The 24,880-nt window shown below is 38.8% G+C and overlaps 1 protein-coding gene and 1 pseudogene across 5 annotated transcripts in view; both read right to left on the bottom strand.

Annotated features, from left to right (window-relative positions):
• SPAM1 (sperm adhesion molecule 1) overlaps positions 1–14,024 on the bottom strand; it is a 46,174-nt gene extending 32,150 nt beyond the window's left edge. For 2 of the 5 annotated variants that reach the window (NM_003117.5, NM_153189.3), the window contains exon 1: positions 13,913–14,024. The gene's annotated coding sequence lies outside the window, so the exon portion shown is untranslated. Of the gene's footprint in view, positions 1–13,200; positions 13,411–13,733 lie in introns of those variants that run through there. The other 3 variants (NM_001174045.2, NM_001174046.2, NM_001174044.2) reach the window with 2 other exon arrangements.
• COX6A1P6 (COX6A1 pseudogene 6) lies at positions 6,806–7,133 on the bottom strand (annotated as a pseudogene).
• Positions 14,025–24,880: the final 10,856 nt, after the last annotated feature.

Here is a 24,880-nt window from a genome sequence, read left to right as displayed (position 1 = left end):
AAATACAAAAAATTAGCCGGGCATGATGGCGGGCGCCTGTAGTCCCAGGTACTCGGGAGGCTGAGGCAGGAGAATGGCGTGAACCCGGGAGGCGGAGCTTGCAGTGAGCCGAGATCGCACCACTGCACTCCAGCCTGGGCGACAGAGCAAGACCCTGTCTCAAAAAAAAAAAAAAAAAAGACTTGAAGATCATCTAAATGCGAGATGCTAATTAAAAACATAATAGCTTTGCTGAGGATGCTCTCTTCAAATGTCTCTTTTTAAACCCCAGGCTGAGATCAGTGATAATTGATTTTCAGTCAATCCAACATCCCACTATAAAAAAAAACCTAGGACCAATCCCGGTTCTGCGATTACAGTGGTTCAGCTGCCTAGCACTAAGGCAAAGGGCTCAGTACCAAGTTAGGCTGAAGTTTAAGAAGAATGACAAACACCTTTATTATTACTGGTGCATTACGTAATGAAGTTCACAAAAGTATAATAACCATAATGAGGGCTATGGGTTTGCAATTAACCGTCTATTAGCAATAACCAGTGTTTCTCTTCTCTCGACCAGTCAGATGACTTTTGGGTTTTATTTCTATGATTTGCCAAAGTCATAGTTACTAAATCTTCTACATATGGGATTGTATTAAAGATCCAAATAGCCACTACAGTCAAACACAAACAGAAAACACCTTTGTCCAAAGGCAATAGGGACCCAATCACATCAATTGTAACTAAGCACATTAACCAATGCTGAAGATAAATGCCAATAAATATATATTAGCTCACCTTCAAAAGATAATGCAACAAGTATGTTTCCTCTTATCTATTTAAGGCATCTGATGCCTATAGAGATATCAAGCCTCTAAATGGAGCACTTAGGATGCAGACTGAATTTTTCCTTAGGATAGGTGACTTGTTTAAAAATCTTATCAGAGTGGTAAGTGGCTTATTATTTATCTTCCTAAAAAGCTATGTCTTGAAGTCTACCTTAAGAATACACATTTTCTACAGCCAGGCATGGTGGTATGTGTCTGTAGTCCCAGTTGCTTGGAAAGCTGAAGCCAGAGAATCACTTGAGGCCAGGAGTTTGAGACTGCACTGTGCCCATATCATGCCTGTGAACAGCCACTGTACTCTAGCCTGGGCAACACAGTGAGACTCCATCTCTTTAAGGAAAAAAAAAAAAAAAGCACATTTTGTGACAGCAAAACTATAACTAAAGTCTTAGGCAATCAAACATCTTCCCAGCACCAACTGCCACCATTCTTTCTAACTAATGTGATATGGTACAAGATTTGAATATACTTGTGCCACAAAACAACACTAGAAACATTTATTAATGTCTTTCTTGACAATGACTTTTTTTCTGTCTTCTCACATTCACTTTTTACCTTTTACTTTCTATCCTTACTGTCTTCCATCTGCCCATGGGAGGTGGAAGCTGATGAAACACATGTCTAAAAAGACTAAGGAACTCAGATCCAGAAAAGAATTGAGGCTTTATTTCCATTTGTAGTTCTATTATACCAAAGCTGGAAGATCCAAATTATTCAATCTTTAAGCATCACTTAACTCTTTAAAAATACATCAGTAATTCCTAAATCTATCTAAATTCCACGAATGCTGGGATAATGAGTAAAATGATACCTATGAAGCGTCTTTTTTTTTTTTTTTTTTTTTGAGATGGAGTCTCTGTTGCCCAGGCTGGAGTGCAGTGGCGCGATCTCGGCTCACTGCAAGCTCCGCCTCCCGGGTTCAATCCATTCTCCTGCCTCAGCCTCCCGAGTAGCTGGGACTACAGGCGCCCGCCACCATGCCCGGCTAATTTTTTGTATTTTTAGTAGAGACGGGATTTCACCATGTTATCCAGGATGGTCTCGATCTCCTGACTTTGTGATCCGCCCGCCTTGGCCTCCCAAAATGCTGGGATTACAGGCGTGAGCCACCGCGCCCGGCCTGAAGTGTTTTTTTAAGAAGCTATGTGACTCTAAAGTGTAGAGTTATTTCCCCTGGACTACCAACATTATTAAATATTGCTTATTATGGCTCATTTGAATTTATTCCGAACTATGAGAAAGGTAACTGTAATAGGTGTGGAGAGGATTCCTTTTGACATTTTGGGAGCCATAAAAGCCAATGTATGCAATTAGATTAGGGGTATCTCTATAAAAATTTAGAGATTGTAAACCCCTAGCCTAAGAACATTAAAGAAATATTTGCCATGGATACTGATTTAGACAATACAGAGATGCTTGGGGGTAATAACAATAATCTAAGTCTTCTGTAAAGAATGTGGTTAATAAGAAAGGTGAGGTGGGAGGAGGAAGAGTTATACATAGCAAAATTCATTTCAAATTGTAGAAACTCAGAGCAAGTTGTATTTACAATTGTCCCTTTATCTCCACCAATAAACTGAGACACTGCTGGTGTTTTGCCTCCATAGAGATCACATGCTTCTCATTAAAAGGGAAATTGGAGAGCTAAAACAACACTTCTGCAGCAGAATTCAGTCAGCCCCTCCACTCTGAGACCATCTCTAGCTAAAATCTATTTAGAAAGAGCATTACAGAGTGAAACCATTCCCATAAACTTTATAGAATTTATCAGGGAAGAAGGGAGGGGGAGAACTAAGATAAACCAAGCCTGCAGCACACTCAGCATTAAACATTAGGTTAGCTTGCTCTCTGACCCACTTCCTTATACTGTTTCCCTGTTGCTGCAGAATCACGTAGACTGCTATAAGATTGCAATTCCCCCTAACTGCTCTACATGACAACTTGAACATTACTAAATGTAAGTTTTCCCTTTGAGATGTTTTTTAAGTCCTGTGTACCAGTGAAACTACTGATACCAGCTGGTCTGAGGGACCCCATGAGGAGCTAACTCGTCTCCTTTTACCAAAGAATAAAATTTCCACATCCTAATGACTTCATCCCTCTTACCCCAACCAATCAATAACCCTAATCTTCCAGCCCGTTGTCCTCCACAATCCCCTTAAAAACCTCATCCCAGGAATCCTTGAAGAGATGGATTTGAGAGTCTCCTCCCATCCCCTAACCTGGCTGCCCTGCAATCAATAAACTCTTTCTCTGCTGCAAACACTGCTGTCTCAGTGCATTGCACTGTTACTGTGCAGCAGGCATATGAACTTGTTAGTCTTACAACAAAGCCACAACTAAATTTCACTTAAGTAGTCCAATTCATTTTAAGCACAACAGAGAGTAGTTGAGAACACAGTAATACAAGAAAATGATATTAAGTAAGCCTATACCTAGCATTTTTTTCCAGACTGAAGGTCACAACCTATAGTGAGTCATAAAGTAAATTTAATTGCTTGTAATAAGCCTTTAAAAAAAACCCATAAAATAGACTATAATAGTGTAGAATAGGATAGGATAAAATAGGTTAGGATAGAATAAGAAGTACCAGAGTGTCATTGCATGAATAAGGGTGAGTATTGTTTTATGAACCTTTTCTATCAGTTATATATTTGTATGTGTATGTCTACTGAGTAACAGCATAAAATGTATTTTTTAACTGTGGAATGGATTAAATCACTTGAATACCCAAAAACTTTGGAGGCTGACACACTTGGGTTTTAAATCCTAAGGGCAGCCACTTTCTAATTAACTAGCCTTAGTAAGTTACTTAATCTCTTTAATCTCTTCAGCAACAAGAATAGAATTCTTATCTGTCTGAGAATTCCTTAAGCAATGTCTGTAAATACCTAAACTACTGGACTAAGTAATTTAGTTTTCTAGATTAGGATCAACAGGCCTAGAATCTGGTTTCTCAATGTAGTAGCAATGTGATCTTGCCCAAACTATTTCACTTCACTGTGCTTTAGTTTTGTTTGTATTTTAAACTGTAAAATATGGGCAATAAAGCAACTATCTCATAGGTCCCTTGTGAAATTTTGATGAAATAATGTATATAAAACACTTAGCACAATGCTTATGAAAGGATTCAGGACATGCTACCCCAAAATATGCCACTTTGGCATATTAGTTATTTTGAGTTGAGAGTGATTGAAGATGCAAGAAGGGCACTCTGCTTTCTTCCTTCCTGCCGAAAACAAGACATAAAATTTCCCATGTACAGGCACCCTCCCTGTATTAGGAAGAAGACAACATTCTCTTTTTAAATCTTTAATTGACAAATAATAATTTTACCTATTTATAGGGTACGGTGTGTGTTTCAATACACGTATACAATGCATAATAACCAAATAAGGGTAATTAGCATATCTGTCATCTAATTCATCATTCATATTATGAACAATCAAAATCTTCTAGCTATTTGAAAGCATACAATAAATTATTGTTAACTATAGTCACAATAAATTGTTAATTATAATGCTATAAAACACTGGAACTTATTCCTCCTGTCATGCTGTAATTTTGTATCCATTTACCAACCTCTGCCTATTCCCCCTCCCTCCTCTTCCCAGCTTCTAGTAATCACTATTCTACTCTCTGCCTCTATAAGATCAACGTTTCCAGCTTCCACATATAAGTGAGAACATGTAGTATTTATCTTTCTGTGCTTAGCTTATTTCACTTAATGTCCTCCAGGCTCATCCATGTTGTAGCAAATGACAGGATTTTATCCTTTTTATGGCTGAATTGTATTCCATTAGGTTTATATACCATATTTTCTTTATCCATTCATCCACTGATGGATGCTTAGCTTAATTCCATATCTTAGCTGTTGTGAGTAGTGTCACAATAAACATGAGAGTGCAGATATCTCTTTAACACACTGATTTCCTTTCCTTTGGATATATAACCAGTAGTGGGAGTTCTGGGTAATATGATAGTTCCATTTTTTAGTTTTTCGAGGAAACTCCTACTGTTTTCCATAATGGCTATACTAATTTATATTCCCATCAACAAGGTGTGAGTTCTCTTTTCTCCATATCCTCACCAGCATTTGTTATTTTGTGTCTTTTTGATAATGGCCATTCTAACTGGAGTGAGATGATATCTAATTATGATTTTGATTTGCACTTTCCTGATGATTAGCAATGTTGAGCATTTTTTATATACAGTTATGCATCCCTTAATAACAAGGATATGTTATTTAAAATGCATTTGTAGGTTATTTCATCATTGTGGGAACATCATAGAGTGTACTTATACAAACCTAGATGATATAGCCTATTACACACCTAAACTATGTGGTATAACTTATTGTTCCTAGATTATACATCTGTACAACATGTTATTGTACTGAATACTGTAGGGAATTGTAACACAATGGTAGGTATTCATGTGTCTAAACAAACATACCTAAACATAGAAAAGAAGTAATGTGTTGCACTATGACAGTACAATGACTATAACATCATTAGATGATAGGAATTTTGCAGCTCCACTATAATCGTATGGGACCACCATGGTATATATATATATGGTCTATCATTGACCAAAACATTATTATACAGAGTATGACTGTACTTCTTGGCCATTTGTATGTCTTCTTTTGAGAAATGTCTATTCAGATTCTTTGCCCACTTTTTAATCAAATGATGTATGTATTTATTTTTCATTGATGAGTTGTTTGAGTTCCTTGTATATTCCAGATGTTAATCCCTTGTTGGGTGAATAGTTTGCAAACCCTTTCTCATAAGAAGAGAACATTCTTATGAAGACTGGGAGTCAGTGCTCAAATGGATCTGTACAAACAATCCTATTAAATAATTCTTATCTTCCATTAGTTCCCCAATACATTTCCTAGTCATTTTCCACAAATTACTACTCCTAGAAGGTTAAACCCCTTTCCCATTTTGTCACTTCTCCACAATTTAACATTTTTGTTTTAAAAGTATGTAAGCTTGCTATCCTAATTGTTTCTTTGGGTTTTCATTTTTGTCTATGAAGGCTTCAATGTGCATGTAAAAATAATAAATAAAAATTGTTTGCTAGTCTCAATAACACAGGAACAGAAAACAAAACACCCCATGTTCTCGCTTATAAGTGGGAGTTGAACAATGAGAACACATGGTCACAGGGAGGGGAACATCACACACCAGGGCCTGTCAGGGGTCGGGGGCAAGGAGGGGGAGAGCAATAGGACAAATACCTAATGCACGCGAGGCTTAAAACCTAGATAACAGGTTGATAGGTGAAGCAAACCGCCATGGCACATGTATACCTATGTAACAAACCTACACATTCTGCACATGTATCCTGGAACTTAAAGTAAATTTAAAAAAAAAAAAATAAAATAAATAATATTTTAAAAATTGTTTGCTATTCTCCTGTTAATCTATGTTTTTGTCACTTCAATTCATGAGCCTCAGCCACAGAACTTCAGGAAGTAGAGGAAGGTTACTTTTCTTTCCCTACAGTTCTGGCAATGAGATTGGGATATCATTGGCTGGGACACCCTGCGCACTCCAGAGGTTACCATTGAGATCTTGGGAGCACCCAGCAAAGTTAGCCAAAGGTAAACATTTTTACCACATCAACCTCCTAATCTCTGCCTGTAGCATCTGGTCAAATGAAAATGGCAAGAGACTATCCTTGTCTTTCCCTTTTCAAATTCAGATTAGCAGGAGAAACCATTTGTGTGAACGAGTTCTTTGGGTATAGATACTCATTATTTTTTGCATATGACCAATCAGAGTTTAATTTCTTTAAGCTACATTTTGCCACAAGCAAAGAGATGGCAAATCAGTTTACTGTTCATCATTTTATACAAGTAAAGAAGGTGAGATTAGGGTCTTGTACACTTTTTCTGGTCCATGTGCAGAGTAATGGTTCAACCAGCTCTGTGGTTCCCAGTAGATTTGTAATGGTTCACGTTCTCTTTATTCATCTTCATAGGCAGTTAGAAACAGATTCACATGAAGGTTATGAAATACAGTATGGTTACCATCTCCTCAAGGAAAAGATTTGGATCTAATGCAGAGATGGGGGTAAGGAATCAACTCAGGTCTCCTGTGCTCTCCACGATGCAACTTCAAGAAAACAATTATCATGCTCACTCCCACCCGAGGAAGCACAACAAAATAGGTGAGGGTCTTCCACATACTAGCTGAGCCCTCCTAGCCATAGATACCACTTGACGTGGCTGCTCCAATTTGGGATTGGACTGACCCCACAGCCGAGGAACCCAGAATGCAGCTGCCACTGCCATTTTCAACCTGGACTCCTTGTGATTTTTATTTGAAGTACTCTTGGTTTTAATTCGTCCTTTCTCTCCCAGAGATGGTCATTGTTTTCCTATGTCTCTGTCTTTTGTGTCATTTTTCATATGGAAGGGAATCACAGGGTAGCACACAGGCATATGTCCTATAGGCATGTTGTTAAAACTGGCTTTATAGACTGATGGGTTTACTGTCCTCATTGGGCTGGAGTTTGGACAAACTTTGCTGTGGGTCATCAATTTTTTAAAAAAGATGAGATTCTCCTTTCATCGCTTTTTATGTTCTGAGATCTCGGCTTGTAACCAGTGAGGATATGTTCTTTGATTTCTGTCAGCTGAGGGGTACAGGTTGTCAGGGATGCATCAAGTGGCTACCATAAGGCTAGGAACACTAGACATTGGAGGGTATGCTGAAAAATCAATTGGAAAAAAGCAGACTAATTGGAAAAAAAGGCATGCAAGTCTATTCAATGTGTATATACAGGAGCCTTCAGAATGAAGTCCCAAAGACAGAGGGGAAATTGTCTATTTTTACGCTTCAGTTCAGCAAAGTATGAAGAGCCATATGGAAATATGACTGGACAAAAAGGGTAGGATCTAATGCTAATAGCCTGAGGGAAAGAAATCCAGTCAGGCCTACCTGTCTAAATTCTTCTTGGCCTCTCTGTGCATGCATTCCTTCCTTCTAGGTATGGGACAGGAACCTCTCTGGAATGGGGGTCTTACGACCTACAGTCAAACAAGGTAGGTCACATAATTTCTTTATGGCCTGTTTTTATATAGAAAGGCAGAGGGAAAGTTAGAGTAATATTTTTAGGTTTTATGGCTGACTTTTGGAAAAAAGGGGTTCTGGTATCTATGACCTGCCCAGGGGAAAAGAAATTCTAGTTTTTATGGCTAGCCTTGGAGGCAAATGGGACTGAGAGGCAGGAGGGCAGAAGAAGGTCAGATAAAAACTTTTGCTTCTGAGGCCTTCATTATGGGGTATTACTTTCTAGGCCCCAACAACATGAAGTGTGCAAGCAGCATCCTCATTGTCCAACCTTGCCAGCTTTCAGGGGAGTTTGTTTTAATGAGGGGTCAGTATGGCAGACGCAGTTGAGAGTAGTGACTTAAGAACACCCTGACAATGACCCTGTGGTGTAAGAATCCAGGAGTGGCCAACCCAGAGTTTCACTCCTTAGCTACGAAGGACATCTGAACCCCTGACCCATCCCTTAGAATATAGGCCATACAGGGGATCGAGTCCCTTTGTTTTGGGTTAGATGGAGCTTGCTAGGTGGTGGGTGCTAAGTAAAAATGTTATCTAATCTGCATGCTTTTTACAAATGGGAGCAGTTCTCCCGTCCAGTTCTCCACGACCAGACCATCCTTGTATGTAAGTTCCCCCAGTAAATCCTATGTCTCATTTGCTCTCAAGGTCCCAGTCTATAAGGAGTCTTTGTTTTCTCTACCCTTGTTGCTTTGCCAGTGCTGGGAAGTCCCATCCAGTTTCACCTGTCCAATATCACAGATTAGAGAGTCTGTAATTGGGTGCATCTCACTTGTGTATGACACCAGAGACATTAATTTTCACAATCATTATTCTTACAATGTTTGTGAAATGAGAGTCTTTTCATGTGTGACAATGAGAGTCTTTGCTTTCTTAGGATATTTTTGGGAGTGGCTTTTTGGATCATGGGAGCTGCATCTTCTGCACCTCTTTGGCGATACCTCTTGAACTCATGATAAAAATGTATTCTAAGCCTGGAAAGTTACCTCCAGGTTTTTTCATGAAAAGATTTATTGGATTGAGTTACTGTTAGAATGGATATATGCTTGGAGATCCTACTTACAATGGCCAAATGATGAATCCATGGATTTGGAAAAACTTTTATATTTGAAAAGATTTTTAGAGAACTCTCATCCTGAACAAATGGCTTTTTGGTACCTATGGGGAGATGAAATTGGAAGTAGGACAAAAAAAGAGCATTTTGGCTAGGCTTAGGGATTCCCTCAAGATTAAGAATAGAAATCAGACTTATAACAAAAGTTAAAAATCCACATCTACTGTACATGTCCCTTTCCCCTTTACTCTCAATTCCAAACTATCCCTGACCTTCCAGAAGATATTTTGAATCTCCAGACCCTGACTTACGTTTCTCTCCCTGAAATCCAGCCCAGCCTCCTAAGCAAATTCCTTTAATCCCTGAAGCTCCTCTGACTCCTCAAAAAAAAAAAAAAAAAAAATCCCTAAACACCCAGCTTCCTTCTTTAAATTCTTTTTCCCTGCAAGAATGGCAGAAAGCACTCTGGCCTAATCTCCAGGCCAAGGAATACAAGTTACTTATGTAAATGCTGATAGTCAGAAAATAACTTTGTCAGAGGCCCCAGGGATACACAGCAGGGCTCATTTCAATGTCCCTTATAATTCCATCTACTTTCTTGGTCGATATAATCAGACCCCATCAGCTGCAAGTCTTCCCATGAAATTCCTTTTGTGGATGTATCCTTAATACCCACAACAAAGAATTCATGTCCTCTGGACAACAGCAGATCTTTTAAAATAAAAAAGCCCTTTTACACCCCACCCCACCCCCAAAACACACACCTTTCAGAAGATCCTATTAAACTTAGAGAGAAGTTAGAAAAGTTAGTGACAATATACAACTCCCCTCATAGTGATTTTGATTGGCTCTTCCTACCCAGGGTGATACTGTAGTTACCAGACAAGCCAGACAACCCCCTAGGAACAACTACCTCTCCCAGGTAACAAACACACATAAAGAAAACAGGTAGCCAGAACTTCTCCCAGGCCTTCCTGCAAATGACCAGGAAATGACTCAGCTGGCAGCTGATATTTAGGGCCTCATAAAAGTGATAGTAGAGACCTTTCCTACCAAGGTGAATTGGTCTAAGGTTGAAAAGTACACTCAGAAAGAAGGGGATGCCAAGGTTTTTGTGGAATGCTGTATACAGACTTTCCAAAGGCATGCTGCATTAACCTCAAAGCCCCAGAATATAAAAATCTTATTATTTCCACCTTTATTGGAAATCCTGTCTAGAATACGGAAGCAAATCCAAAGTAGCTTTTTTGTCTGGGCAGGACAGTCTCTTCAACATTATGATTGAAGCTTCTACCCAATTCTTTGAAAAAAGGCTCGCAGGAAAACAGGAGGGGGAAAAATTAACATCAATTGTCCTTGCTTTGCAAATTTAGTCTTTATAAAAACACACCTATGACTCTAGGGTTAATTCAAATCCCACCCATTTCTCTTACCAACCACAAAGCCTCCCCTATTCATTTCAAGATGTTTGCAGTCACTATATACAAACCTAGACATTGAAAAAAACAATTGTCCTGCACTTGAAAGAAAGGAAAGCTTAAACAATCTCTCCAGACCCCAACTTCCTCAGAGGACCCATTTTCCTCTTTGTGAGAGAGGAAGTATATCCTCCATCCTTAAAATAGAAGATCAAGAACTGGATTTTTCAGTTGACACTGATGTGACTTTCTCTACTTCTGGCTCAAAGTATTCATCTCTATCATCTCTAATTCTATTCAGCTGTTGGAATTCCAGGGAAGCCTGTTTCGTCGCCTACATCTTAGGCCACCCCAATATTTGTGGGCCCTCTTAACATCCATCATGCCTTTCTAGTTTCTGACTTCTTACTGGCAAACCTTTTAGGCAGAGGTTTGTTATGTAAATTTAATGCCACCATAGAGTATAATTATAAAGATGTTTTTTATTTTCCTACCTTCAGACCAAACCTCAAGCTTCCTACCTTCCCTAATGGAAACCCATATCAATCTAAAATCTTCTGAAGAGGATGCAGTCTTAAAAGACATCCCAATTAGTATCTGGGCCTCACATATAAATGAGATTGGATAGCTACTGAGTGCACAGTCAATGGGCGTTACCTGGAAAAGTAATTAGCCTTTCCTGTAAGTAGCGCAGTACTCTCAAGATGAAAAATAAGGAATTGAACCTACAATAAACTATTTTATAGCAGGGTTTTTTTATACCTTCTTACCCTGCAATACCCTAATCTTGCCAATAATAAAAGTAAAATTTGATTTAGATGGGAATCAAATCCATAGATCTGTACAAGGTCTAAGAGCCATGAACTCTTACAATGCGCCGTCACCCCATAATTCCTAATCCAGCCACTATTCTGACCTCAATTCCTGCTGATGCAGTCTGGTTTATAGTAATTAACCTCTGGTCAGCTTTCTTTTTAATTCCATTACTCTGGGACTCAAAATTTATCTTTGCATTTATGTTTAGAGGAAGACAATCAACATAGATGCATACCTCATAGATATTATGCGTTCCCTTCAATATTTTTCTAAGTCTGTAAAACCAATTTCGACCCTGTAGCTTTTACTCAAGGCTTCACTCTTGTTCAATACATTAATAACCTCTTTCTTTATAACCAAACTAAACAGGGTGCTCTTATAGACTCCCTCGTTCTCCTAAAAGAACTAGCTGAATGAGGCCTTAAATCCTTCATATCTAAACATCAGTGGATGCAAACGACTGTTACCTGCTAAGAACATGAGATATCTCAGGGCACTAAAAACAGCACAAAATGCTTTGAATCAGCCTTGCCCATCTTTCTCCCAAAACCAAAAAGCAGCTGCATAAATTCCTAGGGACAGCTAGCTATTGTCATCAATGAGTTCCTACTTTTGCTGCCCATGCTAAATCGCTATAGATGCCCTCCTTCCGATGCTACTTCAGAGTTCATTTCCTAGCTCTTGGAGCCATTGAACTCCTGCAAAGCCTTAAAATGAGCACTTCTCACATAGCCAGCTCTTGGCTTACCCAACTTTGGCAAACCTTTTCACCTATATTGCCATGAAAAGAATAGGATTGTTTTGGGTATTCAAAACAACCTCTTGCCTCTTGGATATGAGGACTAAGCTCTGATTTTTTATCTTACCCAAATTCCTACCTAAGAGGTCTAGGGAGTCATGCCCTACAAACAATAAATTCTCATCAGATGGGTTTTATTGGACCCTACATATTGTGGCTTACTTTTCAATCTGACTGGCATAATATTATGAGACAAGGAAAAAAATATTTAACCCCAAGATCTATTTCCTTGCCATACCTTAAAATTGCCCTGCAGTGTCTCATGGGAAGAATCCACATCCTATAGAGAATCCCCTTCCCCTTTGTTTTCTTTCCTTCCTTCCCAGATCCAGAAGATAATCAACTAAGAGCCAGGCACACTTTTAAGTCCTATAAAAAAACTATTTACAACCTGGTCTCTCTAAAATCTCCTATCTAAGAGCTTCCTCTGCACAATAAAACTTGGTCTCCATAATCCTTTATCTTTAACCTGAACATTCCTTTCTATCGATCCCAGGTCTTCAGACAACCTCAACCAATTGTCAGCCAGAAAATCTTTAAACTTATCTATAAGCTAGAAGCCCCCACTCTGAGTTGTCCCGCCTTTCTAAACCAAACCAATGTATTTCTTAAACGTATTTGACTAATGTCTCATGCCTTCCTAAAACACATAAAACCAAACTGTACCCCGACCACCTTGGACACATGTTCTCAGGACCTCCTAAGGGCTGTGTCACGGGGCCATAATCACTCATATTTGGCTCAGAATAATTCTCTTCAAATATTTTACAGAGTTTGACTCTTTTCATCAACAGGTATGTCCTATACTATATTTCTGGTAAACCAAAAAGTATCAGAGACAGGTCTCAATCAATTTAGAAGTTTATTTTGCCAAAGTTAAGGATAAGCCCAGAACAAATAAACATGGAGTCACAGAAACAGTCTGTGGTCCGTGCCTTTTTCTAAAAATGAATTTGAGGGCCTCGGTATTTAAAGGGGAAAAGCAGGCCGGCGGGGAAAGAAGGAGGGTATGATAATCCACATGTTGCAAGGGAAAAGAAGTAGGTAGGGGAATAGTCAATTATGTATTCATCCAGTGCTCAGTAAATCTGCACTTTACATAAGATAAGGTGAACACAGAGTAACTACCTGTGGAGTTAACATTTTATCTCTAGCTATCTGCTTAGGAACAAGAGAAAAGGCAGTTTCTTGCACAACTCACATTTCAGCTTAATTTTTTTTTCCTTTTGGCATGATGAATTGGGGTTCTGAGTTTTTATTTTCCTTTCACATTCTCAAGTCAATTAGACCCTATGGCATCAGGCATGTCCCCATTCCTGTATGAAGTAGTCACAGCTGGTGCCTTAATTGGCAAATTCAGTATTCTTACATTAGGTTCCCTCCTTTACCTCCACGTTCCCCATTCTCCCATTCTGTGTCCATTCTCTTATGACTTAATAAGACACAGCACCTCGCAACACAGTAGCAGACCACCTATACACAGGTCTTATTAACCAATCCCTCCATTGTAATGCCTTTTTTTTTTTTTTTGTGACAGAGTCTCACTCTGTCACCCAGGATGGAGTGTAGTGGCATGATCTCGGCTCACTAAAACCGCCATCTGCCAGGTTCATGCAACACCATGATAGTGGTAAAGAAATTAACGACTGAGGTTATTCCTCATTTTGGCATTTCTTTATAGATTGAATCAGACCAAGGAACTCATTTTTTAGTAGAAATAAACCACTCACTCACAAAATCTCTGGATTACTCATTAAAACTTCTTACTTCATACCATCCTCAATCATCAGGTCAAGTGGAACATAAAAATCTAGACATAAAAAGAACTTATAGGAAAAAATCCATCAAGCCAACTCTTTCAACCAGGAGATCAGGTATACATCAAGATTTTTAGAAAAAGCTTGTACTGTTACCTTGCTAGGAAGGACCTTATGAGGTGCTGCTAACCACCTACACTGCTATCATACTTTCTGAATTTATGTGAGCCACATCAAGGTGGAGCCAGTCATCACTCTCAGGACAACTGGAAGACCATCCCTACAGGTGACCTCATAGTAAGGATTTCAGAGCCAAGGCTCTAGAAGCAAGATGACACCACAAAGCAAACAGCTTTCCTCAAGATCACAGATAAAAAACTTTGCTTTCATCTATTTTCCCCCTTTAAGTTTCTTTCCTCCCTGGTGTGGGGAGGGGAGTAGAGGGGGGATCTTTTTCAACAAAACCTCCCATTTATTGAGAAGCTGACTGGAGATTACTTGTCTCAATCTATCCTATTCTCTCTCTGATCCTCCACTGTGGGCTTTCTTTCAAATGCTGCCTCTTTCATATTAACCTCACTCTTTTCTTCATAGGTTAAACACAAACCTGACACCACCCTTGCACCAGTTTCCCAAACCTTGGTCATGTCAGCTAAACAATATAATTATTGCTTATGTCAACATCTGATAGCATGAACAAACCTGAATTAGTTTTTATTCCTGTCCATGGGGTACCAGGTGGACCAACTATGGAAGATAAATGAATGAAAGAGTATGGTATCCATGGTCAGAAAAACAATGTCACTCTACTTTTCCTTCTGGTGAGTTCACTGGGCAAGGAAAAACCTCTATGTAAGCTCAAGAATTGTCCCTTGCTCAAATAAAGACATTGGAAGAAAAAGACTTTTCCAATTAAAAACAAATATGGTACTGATCTCTTCCCAAGTAACAATCCAAGACAATATTGCAATCAAACCCTGTAGTTTGACTCCATACACCACATCCTCAAACCCATCATGGAGGTCATAATGAGGCAGGAGAATAGGGTTGGGAGACAGGGAGCCTGAGGACAAATTGGCTGACTTCTTGGAATTGGACCAAAAGGAAAACCCCACCTCTCCATGCCCAGGTGAAAAGGGACCAGAGTTCCTGACCTCTACAAAACCCTCCTCCCCTACCTCACGAACGAGAAATGCCTCTGACTGGTTGTGGCCCAAGCCTCCACTTCAGCCTCTGATTGGTTGCAGGCCAACCTCCACTTCAGCTTCTGATTGGTCACAGGCCAAGCCTCCACTTCAGCCTCTGATTGGTCTCAAACCAAGCCTCCACTTCAGTGTCTGATTGGTCACAGGTCAATCCTTCATTTGCGTAGGGTGTAACCAATTGGAGGTCTCTAAAGGGTACCTAGGGGTGTTAACCAAATTCTTTTAGTTTAATTTAAAACCCTGAAGAACATTGCAGTCAGGCTCTTGAGCCACTTGCTCAAGCTTGCTCCTACTCTGTGGAGGCTACTTTCACTTCAATAAATCTGTGCTTTTGTTGCTTCGTTCTTTTGTTGCTTTGTTTGTGCGTTTTGTTCAATTCTTTGTTCAACACTCCAAGAACCTGGAAAACTCACAGTCAGGACTTTCTATCCGGTGACAATAAGTGATTCTAGAACTACCTTTTATAGCACAAACTTTTGCCAAATCACCAAATGTGTTGGCTGGTTCATAGGCCACTCTTGCACAACCTGGGTGGGATAGCTCGGCTGCTCTCCTGATTAGGCTCCTTAGCACCAGAAATTGTATATAAATAGATCAAAAATCTGGATTAACTTGGTCAGGTGACAAAATCAAGCCTTTTAGCTGCCAAAGCCAGATTGCAGTTCTCCTATGTCAAATGTTTCACAACATTTTCTGCTTCTACAAACTGACAGAGGCACGTGAAAATGAAGGTGTGGAGACATCAATATGACCAATAACAAAAGTTGTGGAACACACTAGATCTTGGGAATTACAGGTTCCACTTTTTGTTCATGAACAACACTGGTCATTCTATCTTGTGTGGTTGATGAAAATGCTGCCTCTTTGTGAATCAGTTGGGACAAACGTTATCTGATTTATACCTTTGAACAAAAAAGATTAATATTCTCCATAAGATAATGAGGCTCAACCATTTGATTAGACTGACCTATTCCCAGAGTTGGGAGATTGGTTTAATGGGATATGGAGAAATGTGCTTAGATTTGCACTTTTCTGCTTATTTATTCTCATTCTGATCTACATATTCTTCTTTTGAAGATCTATCACTCAGCTGCTAAACTGATTCTTCTCTCCACAGCCACTAATTCAGATTTTATTATGAGAAACTTATGGTAAAGTTTCAGATGGGGGAAATGAAGGAATTCAAAATATGCTACCCCAAAATATGCTACTTTGGCATGTTGATTATTTTTATTATTTTACTTTATTTTTTGAGACAGAGTCTTACTTTATTGCGCAGGCTGGAGTGCAGTGGTGCAATCTTGGCTCACCACAACCTCCACGTCCTGGATTCAAGCGATTCTCCTGCCTCAAGCTCCCAGGTAGCTGGGATTACAGGCAGGCACCACTGGACCCAGCTAAATTTTGTATTCTTAGTAGAGACGGGGTTTCGCCATGTTGGCCAGGCTTGTCTTGAACTCCTGACCTCAGGTGATCCACCCGCCTAGGCCTCCCAAAGTGCTGGGATTACAGGCGTGAGCCACTGTGCCCAGCCCAGCATGTTGATTATTTTAGGCTGAAGGTGATTGAGCAACAGCAGAGGCAGGAAGGACTCTCTGACTTTCCTCTTTCTGCCTCAGGTATGACATAAAATTTTCCATGTGAAAGAGGCTCTCCCTGTTTTAGGAAGAGAACATTCTTATCACTGGAGACTGGGGGTCAATACTGAAATGGATCGGTACAAACAAAACTACTAAAATCTTCCTTATCTTCCATTAGATTTCCCTGTGTATTTTCTAGTCACTTTCCCACAAATTACTGCCTCTAGAAGCTTAAACTCTTTTCCTTTGTTTTATCATTTCCCCACAATTTAGCTTTCTTTGTTTAAAACGTATATAAGCCCTTGGCCTGAGTTGCTTCTTTGGCTTTTCATTTTTCTTATAAAGGCTTCAATGTGCAGTAAAAATATTAAATATAATGTATATGCTTTTATTTTCTTAATCTGTCTTTTGTCAGCTCAATTCATGGGCCCCAGCCCCAGAACTTAGAGAGTAATTTGTTGTCTTTATACCTGGCAAAAAGAAGGTATTCCATAAATGTAAGTTGTTCCTGTTATTATTATTAATAATATTGTCCCTTGCGACCATCCACTCCCGTATGAAAGGCAGTAAAAATTATCAAAAAAGAAGGGCCACGCCCAGGACCATTTAATGATTCACAGAACTGCTAACATTAAAACTTTCCCAAGAAGTTAAGAGACAAAAAGTAACCAAAATATGCGAGCTATGAAGGAATTGTTCTGGTGGAAATGAAGCACTCATCAAATTTATACTGCAGTGGAGTCAGATCTGATGATGGTGCTGTGCCTCAGTGATGGTGAGTATCACTACATATGTGCTTCTGAGAAGGAACCTACTCAAGAAAGTCTTCATGGATCTTGATTCTATCAGCATGTCAGACTGACTCAAGCCTTAGTGTACATTGCATTATTTTGACTACCTCTTTGCAACTTTGTGAAGGAGTCAACTAAACATACACTCCATTCAAACTCAGACGTCAAGCTTTCTTCCCTCAACCCAGTTGAAATATTTTTCTGACTTATAAAGTGTGACTTACCTGGAAAGTTTTCAGTCTTTTAAATTGAATTAATGGAATAAGTACATAACATTTAAATAAGTGACATTCAAAACAAATAGTGGCAAAACACATTATTAATATAGAATCCAGATATTTTTGCAGTTTTTGGTAGTTATACATTAGTCTGACCAAACAGGCTGATTGTACTTTCATTGCACAAAAGGGGAGGAAGAACAGTTACCAAAAATCAAACAAGCAATAATTAACAAGATTACTTCTCAGTACCAAACTCAAACCAACTTACTTTAGCTATTAACATGTTTGTTACGTCAACAAGTTACGAGCAACATTAATAACCAATATTGCTTTTATTGCTATTATTAAATAATACATCTAGCATATAACGCATATCATAAATGTATGGCACATGTCCTCCAAAAAGAAAATTAACTGCAACTTCAGCTTTTTAATGACATTATAAAGATGTATTAATATTTGTACTTCTCTCTGCCCCCCTACACCATCCCATGATAACCTAAGCATATTAACACTTATGAATGAGAAGACCAGGTAATTGTGTTTGCCTCCTCACCAAGAACAGAGGAAAATAGGAGTGCTCTATGATTCTCACCTGAGACAAGAGAAACAGGAACTCAATGCTAAAGCAACAGGTGACTGAGCATCTGGGTAGTTGATGACAAGGTAGGAGTGTCCCTGAGACTCATCAACTAGGAAAAGGCACAGGAAAAGAAGGAACTTTGAGGGAAATCAGCTATAAATGATACCCAATAAGGCCAGGCATGGTGGTGGCTCACACCTGTAATCCCAGCACTTTGGGAGGCTGAGGCAGGAGGATCACTTGAGGTCAGTAGTTCGAGACCAGCTTGGCCAACATTGTGAAACCCCATGTAAGAACTTAGAAGTTCTTACAAATACAAAAATTAGACAGTCATGGTGGCACATGCCTGTAATCTCAGCTATTCAGGAAGCTGAGGCAGGAGAATCTCTTGAACCAGGGAGGTGGAGGTTGCAGTGAGGTGAGATCTCACCACTGTGCTCCAGCCTGGGCAACAGTGCAAGACTCTGTCTTAAAAAACAAATGAACAAACGAAAAGAACCTAAGAATATTTATTAGGATTGGGGGCTGTTCCACTTCAGAATTTTTGAAGAGTTTGGACCAAACATGAGGTTGGGAGATGGAGACAAGTTCTTTATAAAATCTACCCTTTTGCTTAAAAACAAAACAAAAGAACCAGAGCAAATAGCAAAATAACTTTAGAGGGTTAAACAGAAACTTCAAAAGGCACATACTCAGTTGTAAAGATAATTATAGAGCAGTGAGTCTCCCAAGGTTGCATGTAATTAGTACTTTAGCTACTTAATGACTGTTTATGGCTGACAAAAAATATTGTTGTTATTCACTTGTGTGTGGCTTATTTGCTCTTAACATGCAACAGCTACAATTTCAAAAACTTAAGCTGCAAGTAATATTTATTGATGGCCTAAACTGTTTTAACCAAACATGTGATATTTGTTATAATTTTAAATGTTAAAATCAAAACAGCAAGACTTTCATTAAAATTTCATTGAGACAGGTTAACATTAAAGCAATTTCTACCAAATCTCTAAAATCAGCCAATCAACAACTGATTTTGAAGTGATCTACCAATTTTCCATAGAATTAAGCAATTAATTATTGCATTTAAACATTGCAGCAACACTCTGGGGTAAGAATTATCATACTCATTTGTGAAATGAGAAAATAAGCATTAGAAAAAATTTGATAACTTGCCCACCAGTCCAAAGCTACAAAACCCAGTTCTAGCTAATTCTAAGGTTGCTCTTTACCCTGTCCTCTAGTGGACAAATTACCATCTTATAAAGATAAAAATATTAAGCAAACACAGACATTTTCTAGAGAAGGGAGAAAATATTTTAATTGTCTGATACAGTACGCAGATAATGGAAATCTTTCTGCTTGTATAATTAACCATCATATTTTGCTGATAGAATCAACCTCACTTTTTCAAAAAAGGAATTAAAGCTCACAGTCTAAATATCTTCAAAGTTAAACATTCAGTTAGATCCCAGTGTAGTACTGTTTTCTCAAAACCAGTGATTGAGATAACTTTAACAAAATGGTTGCCTCATTTCTTAATTTTTTTCACTCAACCATTGTTTTTTGTTCATTTACTCCAAATAATTAGAGGTGTCAGTCTGGCAATTATGTTTCATGTTTTGACTTAATTTACTCAATTTTGATCAGGAAAATGTAAGTGCTGTATTCATATTTACTAACTTCTCACATCATGGGATGGAAGAACTTAGAAGTCCTTTAAACTAAGAAACAAACGTTTTACCTAAGTTAAAGCTGAATTTGAATTATTTATGAGATCTTTTATCACCTGGTTATAGTACTTTCTAACCTGGCCAAGTGATTAACTGAAGGCCAGACTTGTTATAAAACTTCCTCAGAAAAACACAATGAAGAGTGGGTGACGTCTGCCTCCACTCATACTGGCCTACAAATTGTGATATAAAGCACAAATGAGGGGGCCGGGCTAGGTGGCTCACACCTGTAATCCCAGCACTTTGGGAGGCCAAGGTGGGTGGATCACAAGGTCAGGAGTTTGAGACCAGCCTGGCCAACATGGTGAAACCCTGTCTCTACTGAAAATACAAAAAATTAGCCGGGCGTGGTGGTGCATGCCTGTAGTCCCAGCTACTCAGGAGGTTGAGGCAGGAGAATCGCTTGTACCCTGGAGGCAGAGGTTGGGGAGATCACACCATTGTCCAGCCTGGGTGACAGAGCAAGACTCCATCTCAAAAAGCAAGACTCCGTCTCAAAAAAAAAAAAAAAAAAAAAGCACAAATGAGTAACCAGGACAAAGGGCACTAGCTTTGATCTAGTTGGAGTCCTAAATCTAAAGAGAGAGTTGAATAGTCACCACCATTTTTACTTTTCTTTCTTTCCTTCACTCTCTTATTTTTCTCCCTCTCACTCTACATATATCAACACATTTAATTCTAATACTACTCCATCAGGTAGGCACACCTATTATCCCCATTTAACAGATACCACTCAACTTTATACCCCCAGACCAAGCAAGTTTCAGTCTCATCCCTTGGATTCAGATTTCAGAGCCATATCTACTCCATTGGCAAAGCCCTAGAGGGCGTTAGTTCAGCGGTTCAGATGAGGAAAATAAACCAGTGGGGGTGAGGCCACGTGAGTTCTTCAGTTCAAGAAATGTGTTCCATCGAAATGCTGGCTTGAGAGATGTTTCTGGCCATCTTCAAAGAGATAAAGTTTCAGAATCTGAGGGAGAGAAAATTCTAGAAAGTGCCACAAGGGGTGTGGCTGGAACCAAGGACTCAAACCGTAGGTTTGGCTAAAACCAATCTGTGCCCAGGACCCTCGGTCTCCTGTGGCGTCGCCGTCCACAGTCAAGGGCAGCCCTGGCCGCCCCTGAGCAATGGAAAACGGTGTTACCAGAAGGAACGGAGGTTGGTTGTTACCCACCTCAACTCTGCCCCCTTCTATATTCCCAATGGCAACACTGGGGAATATCCATTATTTTTATCATATGTCTATTTAAATCTGCTGGTACCTCCATTGCCTCCCTTCCTCATCCGGCAATAATAATGCCGTGGACTTCCCATCGTCCCTCGTGCGCCTGCGCCGCAGGGTTTGCTGCAACCTGCTGCTTCTCAGTGCTCGGACTGTTCTGATGCCTTCAGTTCTCCTCTGTGTTTTCACTTCTCTGCTTTTTTGCTTCTCTGTAGTACACTTGCAAGTACTCGGCCTGCTTTGATTTTGATTCTGGTTTCGCCTCTGTACTTAAGAATCTTAATTTTAGGAATCTTCTTGACTATAATCTCTACAACCCACGTAAGACTCCTCACTCTATAGCCAAGGTCTAGCATCCATCCATTAAATTAAGTTAATTAATTAAATTACTTGTTAGCAATTAATTACATTCTACCAAATTATTCGATCTTTCCTGGCCCAAAACCGCAGTTAAAATGTACTTCTCTCTTGCTCCAGTTCCTTAGCTAATTTACTTCTATGCAGATTGTCATGCTGTAATAGCTTATATTACATATTTATACTTACATAAGCATATAAATATATTTATATTATATATTACCATAATCATGTTAATGCATTTTAATAGACTGTCTCTATATTTTCACTGATTGCCTAAGTGAGAATGTCAGATATTACAGAAGGATATTGAGGAAATGTTCTAGGGTCATGGAGCATCTCAACTTATGCCATAGGTGCCAACTACTTAATTTATTGATGTGGCAATTTAACAAATGTTAATGGAGAATTAATTCCATGCCAAACCCTGGGCATAAAGGATACTGTAATAAGCCACATGGAGCCAGTCCTGTTCTCATGGAGCCTGCGTTCTAGTGGGAGGAAACAGACAAACAAGTAATAAACAATTTCAGGGCGACAGCTGATATTGCAGAATTTTTTTTAATGACAGAGAAAGCAATCAGGGTTGAAAAGGTATATAAGGTCCATTTTATAGTGTAATAGATGATGCTGACTCTTAAAGAGATTGCATCCAGTTAGCACTTCCTTCAAAAATTGAGTACTTACTTTCTTACACTCAAGCAAACACTGTATTGCAATACTTTGTAAAGTCTTTGTCAACCAGAGTAATGTAAAAATGGTATCTCATTGTCATTTTAATCATAATTGATTTTCAGAAAATTTGAGTCATTCATATTGTCTTTGCTGATTTTCGGTCATTTTGAATTGGTTGCTTAAGAGCTCTTTATGTAACAGAAGAAATTATACTTTGTTACAGGTTCCAAATATGTTTTTCTAGTTTGTATTTGGATTTGCCCATGATACCATTTTCACGCAAAAGGTAACCTCCTTTATTTTTTATATACAATTTGTTTCTAAATATTTGGAGAGTAAATTGGACTTAGGTCAGTTTCCCCAAGAGCAGATCCTTCGATGAGATTTCATGTGCAAATGATTTATTAAGAAAGTTTTCTCAGGAAAAAATTCAAGAGAATGAGAAAAGTAGGACAGAGAAGGAGATGAAGCCAAGAAAGTGTGTAATTTTATGTAAAGGCCTTTAGAGGGCAGCTTTAACTTCATCATTCAGGGGATCCAATTAAGGACTGCAAGAGGCAAAACCACACTGAATGGGAGGGAGGGAGAAAGGGAAGCACCCTGAACCTGGGGAAAGGAATTTACAACAAACAATAAAAGAGGACTTCGGGGATCTGCCTGGGCACTAAAGTGTCCCTTAACAAGGGGTGGGGCAAGGGTCAATGAAAGGAAAGAATAGGGAAGTTCAAACTCAGCATTTGATTTTAATGTGGAAATCTCTTCTTACTTGTTTGTGCTTAATTATTAAACTACGTAGCAGAAGGAATCCACCCAGTCAGGAAAATTTAGTCCACCCTAACCTAGTCACTCATGATTAGTCAAGTATAATTGTTTCCTTCTCTCCCTCAACTCTTTCTGGATATTCATAGTCAGGTCTGAGGGTACCAAAGTAATTGAGAAAGTCAGTTTTCAGTAAGTTGAAGGCCAAGTCAGTAACTATAGATGTAGATCTTGGGGGCCTATGAAAAGAGGTAACAGATTGAAAAGAGAACACTTGGTTTTGGTTAAGGAACACAGAATTTAGTCTTGCACTATTAATAATAAAGGACATCCTTGCCCTATTTCTGGTGTAACTAGAAAATAATCCCTGATACTGACTCTTTAGCATCTCAGAGTATTACCTTCTTGGAGAATACATAGGTTCCACTAAATACATTTTTAATTTTATTTCTTTCTTAATCTTCTTGTGAAGTAAAATTTTTATCTTCTAAGGTAAATATCAAGCTGAAAAAATCAATTCAATACATGTTTTCTAACACTTGAAGAGACAGTTTGCACAGTCTGTGGGTTTCTAAAATCTTCCATGAAGGGTACATGGAGCTTATCCGGTCTGGTACTAGGGCAACTAGAAACAGTAATTGCTATGGCACTGTGGCTTCTATCAGCAGCATAAACACATCAGGTTACCAATGTCCAATGACGAAGGGTCATTTAGTATGAAAGGTAGCTTAGCTCAGTGACTTTTGGGTTGATGTTTTTCTTAACTGAAGTTTATGTATGTTCATGTGACTTTCATTGGACCTTCTCATGGAGAAGTTTTAAGCAATGACTTGGTAAATGCCAGTATCTTTCTAAGATAGTGTAGTCACATTGAAATTGTTATCCCCTGGGTTTGAAAAACGTAAGTCAAACGTAAGTCATATGGCTGAACTATTCACATCAGTTGGAGATTACCACCAAATGTTCCCTGACATCATATTTGTCAGACACTTTTAAAAGTCCATGCCAAGTCTATATTACTTTCTGATAAATCACAACTTAGTAAATAATATACTTGTGCCTGGCACCAGAAAGCAAAAAAAATTTTGTGGTCACTAGTTCTAGTTCACCACTGCTTATCACTTCATTTGAATTCAACAAATATTTAGAGAACACTAGATAGGAACATATTGGCAGGAGAATGGCATAACTGATTATATAATTATATGCAAAAATGTTATTATGAAACAGATATTGGTAGACTGATGTTCTAACATTTGAATTGTCAGAAGGTAATATTCTAAGACTATATATTTCTATGTGTAATTGTCATGGGACTGTTTTATCTTTTCTTTCAGGGATGTCAAATATATTAAAAAACCAAAATGAACTATCACATCATATCTGATTATCTAACTTTAATAATAAAAATACAATCATGTAAAACTTCACATGAAAACAACATGACCTACCATGGATTTTCCCTTCCATTTCTTTTCTTTTTTTCTTTTTTTTTTTTTTTTTTTGAGACAGAATCTCGCTCTGTCACCCAAGCTGGAGTGCAGTGGCACAATCTAGGCTCACTGCAACCTCTGCCTCCAGGGTTCAAGTGATTCTCCTGCCTCAGCCTCCTGAGTAGCTGGGATTACAGGCATGCACCACCACGCCGGCTAATTTTTGTATTTTTATTAGAGACGGGGTTTCACCATGTTGGTCAGGCTGGTCTCGAACTCCTGACCTCGTGATCCGCCCACCTCAGCCTCCCAAAATGCTGGGATTACAGGCGTGAGCCACTGCACCCAGCCCATTCCCTTCCATTTCCTATAAATCAGTTCCTAAACTTACATTTAAAAAAATTAATCACCCTTTCACCTCTGCTCACATTGTATTTCACTCATACTTCTTTTATAGAACTTGTCATAATACTCTACTTTGAATTACCTGCCTTTTTACATGATGATAGAATCCTTTAGAGAAGAAATCTTATTAATCATTGCAACCTTCACAGTACCAAATATATTC

The sequence above is a fragment of the Homo sapiens genome, chromosome 7 (assembly GCF_000001405.40).
Source record: "Homo sapiens chromosome 7, GRCh38.p14 Primary Assembly".
In the NCBI taxonomy this organism is placed as follows: Eukaryota; Metazoa; Chordata; class Mammalia; order Primates; family Hominidae; genus Homo; species Homo sapiens.
The sequence above is the reverse complement of the archived record's forward strand: the minus strand, read 5'-3'. Positions and strand labels throughout refer to the sequence as shown.